We start from the raw sequence: 9,254 nt of genomic DNA on the forward strand, positions 1-9,254 counted from the left end.
TCCCTTGCCTGCTTTTTGATAGGGTTGTTTTTTTTATGCATGTTACTTTAAGTTCCTTATAGATTCTGGATATTAGACCTTTGTTGGGTGCATAATTTGCTAATATTTTCTCCCATTTAATAGATTGTCTGTTTACTCTGTTGATAGTTTCTTTTGCTGTGCAGAAGCTCTTTAGTTTATTTAGGTTCCAATTGTCAATTTGTGTTTCTGTTGCAATTGCTTTTGGCATCTTGGTCATAAAATCTTTTCCAGGTCCTTTGTCCAGAATGGTGTTTCCCAGGTTATCCCCCAGAATTCTTATAGTTTTAGGTTTTACATTTAAGTGTTTAATCCATCTTGAGATAATTTTTGTATATGGTGTAAGGAAGGGCTTCAGTTTCAGTCTTCTGCAGATGGGTAGCCAGTTGTTCCAGCACCATTTATTCAATAGGGAGTCCTTTCCCCATTGCTTGTTTTTGTCAATTTTGTTGAAGATCAGATGGTTGTAGGTGGCTGGCATTATTTCTGGAGTCTCTATTCTGTTCCATTAGCCTATGTGTCTTTTTTTTTTGTACCAATATCATGCTATTTTGGTTACTGTAGACTTTTAGTATAGTTTGAAGTCAGATAATGTGATGCCTCCAGCTTTGTTCTTTTAGCTTAGGGTTGCCTTGGCTATTCGGGCTCTTCTTTGGTTCCAAATGAATTTTAAATTAGAGTTTTCTAATTCTGTAATGAAATTTGTGTTTGATAGGAATAGCATTGACTTGGTAGTTTCATAGGAATAGCATTGAATGTGTAAATTGCTTTGGGCACTATGGCCATTTTAACAATATTAATTCTCCCTACCTATGATCATGGAATGTTTTTCCATTTGTTTGTGCCATCTCTGATTTCATTAAGCAGTATTTTGTAATTCTTGCTGTAGAGGTTTTTCACCTCCTTGGTTAGCTATATTCTTGAGTATTTTATTCTTTTTGTGGCTATTTTGAATGGGATTGCATTCTTAATTTAGTTCCCAGCTTGGATGTTGTTGGTTTATAGGGATGCTACTGATTTTTGTACATTGATTTTGTGTCCTGAAACTTTGCTGAAGTTGTTTATCAGATAGATCAAGGAGCTTTTGGGCAGAGACTATAGGGTTTTCTAGCTATAGAATCATATTGTCTGCAAACAGGGAAAATTTGCCTTCCACTCTTCCCAACTGGATGCCTTTTATTTCTGGCTCTTGCCTAATTACTCAGGCCAGGACTTCCAGTACAATGTTGAATAGGACTAGAGAGAGAGCGTATCCTTGTCTTGTTCCAGTTTTCAGTGGGAATGCTTCCAGCTTTTACCCATTCAGTACGATGCTGGCTATGGTGTTTCATAGATGGTGCTTATTATTTTGAAGTATTTTCCTTCAATGCCTAGTTTGTTGAGGGTGTTTAACATGAATAAATATTGAATTTTACGGAAGACCTTTTCTGCATCTACTGAGATGATCATGTGGTTTTTACTTTTAGTTCTGTTTATGTGGTGAATCACATTTATTGATTTGTGTATGTTGAATCAACCTTGCATTTTAGGGATGATGGTGGATTAGCTTTTTGATGTGTTGCTGGACTTTGTTTACTATAATATTAACAGTATTTTGTTGAGGATGTTTGCATCTATGTTCATCAAGGATATTGCCTTGAAACTTTCTTTTTTTGTGTGTGTCTCTGCAAGGTTTTGGTATCAACATCACGGTGGCATCATGAGTCAGGGAGGAGTCCATCCCCATCATTGTTTTTGAAGTATTTTCAGTAGGAATGGTACCAGCTCTTTTTTATGCACCTGGTAGAATTCAGCTGCGTTTTTGGTCCTGGGCTTTTTTTGGTTGGTGTGCTTTTTATTACTGATTCAATTTCAGAACTTGTTATTGGTCTGTTCAGGGATTCAATCTCTTCCTGGTTAAATCTCAACATGTTGTATGTTGCCAGGAATTTATTTCTTCTAAGTTTTCTGGCTTTTGTGCATAGAGGTATTCATAGTAGTCTCCGAGGGTGTTTTTTTTTTTTTTCTATTTCTGGGTTATCATTGGTAATGTCCCCTTTGTCATTCTGATTGTGTTTTTCTCTTTTTTTTATTAGTCTAGCTAGCAGTCTAATTTCTTCCAAGGAACAAACTCCTGGATTCGTTGACCTTTTGTATGGTTTTTCTTCTCATTTTTCTTCAATTTAGCTCTGATTTTGGTTATTTATTTTGTCTTCTGCTAACTTTCGGGTTGGGTTGCTCTTTTCTCTCTCTTTTTCTTCTTCTTCTTTTTTTTTTTAAATAGGTTTCATTATGTTTCCAGTGTAGGATTGTGACATGCCTCCTCATTTCACTGTGAGCCATTCCCTTGACTCTAAGCTAAATTAGTGCACTACTTCTTACAAGAGTGTATCTTTGACAACCTAAAATAATTAGGTTACTATGGCATACAAAATTATAACCTACTCTATAGTATGTTTGTGATAATCATTTATAATGGTAAAACTGTAAAACAAAAGCTGTATTGATAATTGTCGATAAAAATGTGAACTACATAGATATTTTGCTTATGCTGCCTAGTCTACTTTGGCAGTTTGCATCTGGGTGTAAAAATCCTTCTAAAAAACAGGTAAGACATTTGTGAGGCTGAGGAAAATACATTATAAAGAGGGTAGTAAAGATTTTTCTTCTTCTTTTGTGTGTGTAAATGTTTTATTATTATTCAAGTAATACGTGAATACATGCTCATTTGTACAAGAATTCAAACCATGTGTAAATATATAGAGTAAAATGTGAAAATATTCCTTCAGTTACCGCCTACCACTGTCCCTCCAGAGGAAGCTACTATTAAGAATTTGATTTGTATCCTTTTCCGCCAACATGGTTACACATATTAAGGTAACTAAAAGGGAGAAAAAGTCAGTTTAACAAAGAAGTTAACCATGCTTTCTTTGAAGCTGGGCTTCCTGGGTTAAAACCCAGATTCTGTTACTTAATGTTGTGTGATATTGGTGATGTTATCTAATGTCTCTGTGCCTGGGTTTCCTCATAGGTAAAATGGGGATATTAAGCGCTTCATAGACATGTTATGAGGATGTCTTTAGCATGTGTGAAGTATTTAGAATAGTGCCTGGCATATAGTGCACACAATTCATCATGGAATCATGATGCATATATTGTTTCACAACTTGTATTCTGTACACATAGGGGAAATGTAGTGTAGCCATTAAGAGCATGGATTCTGGTTCTGAATCCAATTATCAGGTGCAAATCCTAGTTCTATCATTTACTAGCTTTATGCCTGTCAGGAAGTATATAAACTTCCTTTGTTTTCTCTGTAAAATGGGGGTAGTAGCTTTAGCTCTAAATTAAGTACTATATATAGGACATTTAGAATGACTGACATGTAGTAATTACTCTGTAGATGCTTATTATTATTATGTCATTGAAAGCACTCAGTTTATTATTTCATGTTATAGATATATTATAATTAATTTAACAATTCGTAGTTGATGGTCATTTAGATTACTTCTAAATATTCATTGTTACAAAATATTCTGGTATCCATACTTTAACTAAAGATGGAATTACCATTTGACCCATTAGACCCACTGCTGGGTACCTATCAGAAGAAAAATAAATTGTTATGTAAAAAAAAACACCTGTACTTGTGTGTTTATCACAGCACTATTCACAATAGAAAAGTCATGGAATCAATTTGAGTGTCCATCAGTAGATGATTGGATAAAGAAAATATGGTATATACACACAATAGAATACTACCCAGCCATAAAATAAGAGTGAAATCATGTCTTTTGCAGCAGCATGAATGGAGTTTGAGGCCATTATCCTAAGTGAAATAACTTAGAAAGAGAAAACAAAATACCACACTTTCCCACTTACAAGTGGGAGCTAAATGGGTATAAATGAGCATACGGAGGAAAATAATAGACACTGGAGACTACAGAAGGGGGCAGGTTGGGAGGGGGATGAGGGTTGAAAAATTACCTGTTGGGTACAATGCTCACTTTTCAGGTGATGGGTATGCTAGAAGCCTAAACTCCACCACTGCACAATATATCCATGTAACAAACCTGCACATGTACCCCATGAATCTATAAATATTTTTTAAAAATTAAAATAACCTTGTCTCTGCCTTAACTTGTATGAAAAAAAGCTAGTGCTATTAACATTTTCCCATTCTCATTGTTACTGAAAACTTGAATAAACATTTTCAAGATCCTCTTTTGGATCACTACCATACCGAACATGTGATCAATCCATGTCATTTTCTTATTAGTTTGGTTCAATCCCAGGGTGTGAGTGGAAAGCAGAACAATTTGTGTGGTTAAAGCTTTATTTTTGAAGAGTAAACGAAATATGAGAACTAAATGAGCCAAACAGGACATCTTCTGTGTTTTTACTGTTGGAGTCTCAGAAAAACAAATCTTTAGGTATCCTGATATTTCAAAAAGGTAAGTCTAAAATCTTACATATTTTGGTTCTTTTTTTTGATTTTCTTCACAGAAGGCTGTAAATATGAATATAAGTGCATTTCCTGGAAACAGTTATAACAAACAGTGTTGTCTTATAAGAGGAAAATTGTATCTTGAATCAAGTATGCTTTTTTCTTTCATGCTTTTGTAATGTTGAGAAAATTGGAGGTGTAAAGATTGCCAATTGCACTAAAGAGCCACACAAAAGTCTGCAATAAGTGCTAAGTAAGATTTTAATACAAAACAAGAGAAGAGAAGAAAGTGAGGAGGAGTGGAGGGAGGGAAAGGGAAAGAAAAAGAAAAAAAGATTGATAATGAAGTTGAGAAACCTATTTACATTTACATTATTTTTTAAATTCACAAATAACATTGTATGTTTTTATTATGTACAACATTTTGGAGTGGTTAAATCTAGCTAATTAACAAATGCATTATCTCACATAGCTCTCACCACCGAAATGATAACTATTCACTTACATTATTCAAAAAGTAAAGTGGCTGTATTTATGTTTTCAATCAACAAATTTGCAGGAGTCCAAACTGTATATAAATTTCCACATCTTATATACATTCTAAGGTATAGTAATTTACTTCAATCTATGACTCAAATGACATTAATTAAAAAGGATAGTTAAAACCAATTCCTTGACAGCTGCCTTCATTTTAAGTAGACTCTTTGAAGATAGAAAGTTTATCATTTCTAAATAAACCCTTAAAGATAGTTGAATATAATAATTATACATTTGTATGTTTGTACTTCTAACACTTGCATGTGCACCATATAATATTACACTGACAATAGTCCCGTGAAGATTCATTAAATGATGTGTGCAGTATCATCATTTAACTGCTGAAAAATTTGAGACCGCAAAATGTTAAATAAATTAGCTTATGTTAAAAGTTCATTGCAGAACGGAAACCCAGGTTTAGTTATTCCTGGTCCTATTTCCTAAACTTTGAGCAACACGGCTTCCCTAAATTACTTTTATTTCACGTAGGAGTTAAATACTTATTTGACATTTTTAATGTACATTGCCTTAATGAGTTATTTTATATTACAGGAATATACTAGAAACTTACTTTGTAAAACTTGTCTAACAAAATGCTTAGAGAAGCTTTCCTAATTGATCTTCTGTACAAAGAACAGAAATATGCAAAATTTTGCAAACCATTTACATGTAAGAAGACTGAAAAGGAAACTTGGAAAAAGAAGATTTTAGATAGAGAAGAAAATTCACTTTCCTCTGCTAAGATGGAAAATCAAGAAACAACTAGGAAAGAAAGTGTAACAGAGCAAAATGATGATACAGATCAAATAAAATCTGTGGATGAGACAACTGTAGCAAAATGCAAAGGTATTACCTCTTCCAGGAAATGTGTCAGTTGCGTTGCCCATTTCAAAGAGAGAAAAACATGATCAAAGACAACTAGATTTATATAGATCCTGGTTGTGTATGAGTATTTGTCACAATTATTCTGACCTACAGATTGGAGGTGACGATGTGAGGAACATGTGTGATTCAGGCTGCTTTACGGAACACACACATAATGATGTTTTTAATGGTCCCCTTTTGTTTTCAGTTGGTAGGCCACTGGGTCATTCTCCTGTCATTGGGCCTCTAGAGACATTACCTACCTCAAAATTATTGAATGGGGATGAAAGCCAAGAAAAAAGTATGTTGTTTCATAAACAGCCCCTCTCTAATTCTATGCTTAATACTTATATGGAAAGAAAGGTGGACTAGCTCTGCAAACAATTATTGGAAGAAAATCTCACCAGATGCCACTCTGTAACCAATCTTATGGCTTCCAATTTGCTAATGAATAATGTAAATTACATCAGCTTTCAAATCTCTCAAGAGCAGAACATTGAGTTATGGAAAGCTCAGGAAGCTGCCCTACACTCTACCACTATGTAATCTGTGTAACATTTCTCATGGAAAGAGTGGAAAGAGTTCTTAATTCAGTACCCCTGACTTACAAATATCGAACCAGACAAGTAGGGAACTTCTATCACATCTACAGTAGATAACAAATGTAGGTTGTTTGGACAGACTTAAGAGACTGCAATAACAAGAGTTTTTTCTAGCTTATCATGTCACATCTAGCCTTCTTTGGGGTGTGGTTATTATAGTTTTTGAGAAATGATTTGACCCATGGTACATCTGAATTCTTATAGGAGACAACTATAGTAACTACGTTTTAGAGTGCAAGTTCTTAATGTGTTGATATTTTAATAGTTGCCAAACTAAACTCTGTATGCGTTTACCTATTTAATTGTCACTGGCACCCCAAATCAATTACCTCAGTGTCGCACAGCTTTATTTACAACAAAAATGGGATGAGGAGTGGATTATTGCTCCAAGATACTGAAGGACCATGAGAAGGTATATCAGAGAGGGACATTTATTTCCCCACAAAAACGCATTTATACTGACAATCAAAATAGTCTAGGGGAAATTATGATATGTAGTTATGGATATGGATATCTATATCTGGATATCTATATGTGGATATCTATATCTGGATATCTATATGTGGATATCTATATCTGGATATCTATATGTGGATATCTATATATCAAGATTGAGTATGGGGACATATAAAAGGAAATACTTTAAACAAAAGTCAAATTTAAATGATGTTTGAAAGAAACATGGAGGGAGGGCTTAAGGAAAAATGGAAAATTTGTAAGTACCATTTATATTGAAACTTGGTGCTTTGGAACTTTCCTGGAACGAGCATTAACTGTTTTATATCACTGTTATCTCTGGTTGTTTTTAGAGATGGGAGGAAAAAAAACACACAGGTAGAGTGAAGAAAGTAGAGAACCACCATTTAGAAATAAAAAGGTTCTCAGCAACTTATTACACATCAGATTATCCTCAATCATGATCCTGGCAGTAGTTTATTATGGAAATTTTCGGATCCAAATTAAATAAATTAACAAAATATATCTAAAGTAACAGTATAATTTATTGCAGACTTGGAAAGAAGACTCCATACTTTTAATAGAAATAGGAAAATGATAGACATGCACTTCTGTGTTGTAAAATAAAATGGTATTAATTTCTGTTATAGAATTCTTACAATTGCATTATGCATTAATAAGATTTGTGCATTGACAATCATATATTCCCTTCCATCCCTTCCAATTTTTTCTTGGGTCTTTGATTAACTCTTGTAGAATGAGTCACTGTAATGCCCTAATAGCTCGTTTTTTATGATCACACAATACTTCGTTTATTTTCACCCTCTTCAAATGTATATGATCTAATAATAGTAAGTACCCCTGATTTGTCTTCTGTTTTTCTCTTTATTGCTCCCTTCCACACCATCCTCTACCATAACCATACCAATTAATGTTTATCATTCAGACATTTGATTCTGAAGAGACAATGAGTAAGAGTTTAAAGTAACTCAGTATCTTTAGATATTGAAAAAAAGTTGTATGTATATTGTCTTTTATGCTGTTAAATTTCGGCATTTTAATAGGAGAGTTACTAAAATTATGAAATATTAATGTTAACATTTACAAAAGTGAATTAAATATCATGGGACAGTATTACTAGTGTGGATTGTTTTCTTAGGTCCAGTAATATGTATTAATATTTTATGAAACAGATATATTCATAAAGTGTTGAAATTACATAGTATCATATACAAAACCACAGTATTTAGTATATATCAAATTTATAAATGCATTTAATTACGCTCTCATATTTAAAATTTCCCCCTCTTTATCTGTGTCATCAAAATATTTATCATCTAAAGATACTCACTTATGGTTAAAATGGTTTAAAAATATAATGCAATTCTTAAGTAAGGAAAGATGATGAATTTGGTGTTACGTTTTATCCTGACCTCATACCTACTGACTTCAGTGCTTGAATGAAATATGCATATGACGTTGTGATTTAGCATAGTTTGGCTTTAAGTAGTCATTCTTCATTCTGTTGTTCACCATCGGTATTATTTATATGACCATAATGTTCCCTTTCAAAACATTTTTTGAAATGTATGGAATAATAAATTTCTTTTTGTCTCACATTTGCAGAAGTTGAAAGTATTCGTTTTGTGCTTCTATGAATATACAAAATGTAAATGATTCAGTCGTTGGGGAGGATCATCATGTTTTCTGGTAGGAAAAAAAGTCAAGGAGTTTATGAAGGATGCTGAATACAATGTTGCTCCCTGCTTATATAGATCAGTTTAATTTACATCCCGTCTTTGGATTTCAGGTCACTATTGTGGGTCCCAAAGTAGATTTGACCAAGTCTCAGGAAGTTTTCTGTCAAGAGTGTCCTTTAAACACCAACACCTATTTAAGAGATACAGTCTATACTGTACTCCTGGAATTTTCAGGCTCATTTTGTCTTATAGGTTAGTCCTCAAAAGAAGCCAGTCTCCCCGAGGTTATTAAGACTGGACCTAACACTGTGATGGTCCATTCAAGGTTGTAAGCAGACTTTCTGGGTCTTACTAAAACTTGTTTTTGGAAATGGAGAAACAAAGTAAATAGTTCCTGCTTTGGGGATGGAAGTATCTAATACCACGAAATTATTTTCCTGTTAAAAAATTAAAGGAATATATTTTTTAAGATAGTTTACTTTGAAGAGGTAAATGGCTAACTTAGCATTATTACGTAATGTATGTGTGGATGAAGGGTGGAGAGGTGACTTGATGAGAATTAGTGTGTAGGATAAACTGATAAACTGGAATAATTGTGTAGTTAAAGGAATGATTTTTTTTAGTCAATGCAGAAAGAAATCAACAAATTAA

General features: G+C 33.5%; 1 long non-coding RNA gene across 1 annotated transcript; it reads left to right on the forward strand.

Moving 5' to 3' along the window:
• Positions 1–2,045: 2,045 nt before the first annotated feature.
• Positions 2,046–8,522, forward strand: LOC105373284 (uncharacterized). Its single transcript, XR_007068280.1, has 2 exons — positions 2,046–4,451; positions 5,534–8,522. It is a non-coding gene; the product is annotated as an uncharacterized LOC105373284 (long non-coding RNA).
• Positions 8,523–9,254: the final 732 nt, after the last annotated feature.

Source organism: Homo sapiens, chromosome X (genome assembly GCF_000001405.40).
Source record: "Homo sapiens chromosome X, GRCh38.p14 Primary Assembly".
Lineage (NCBI taxonomy): Eukaryota > Metazoa > Chordata > Mammalia > Primates > Hominidae > Homo > Homo sapiens.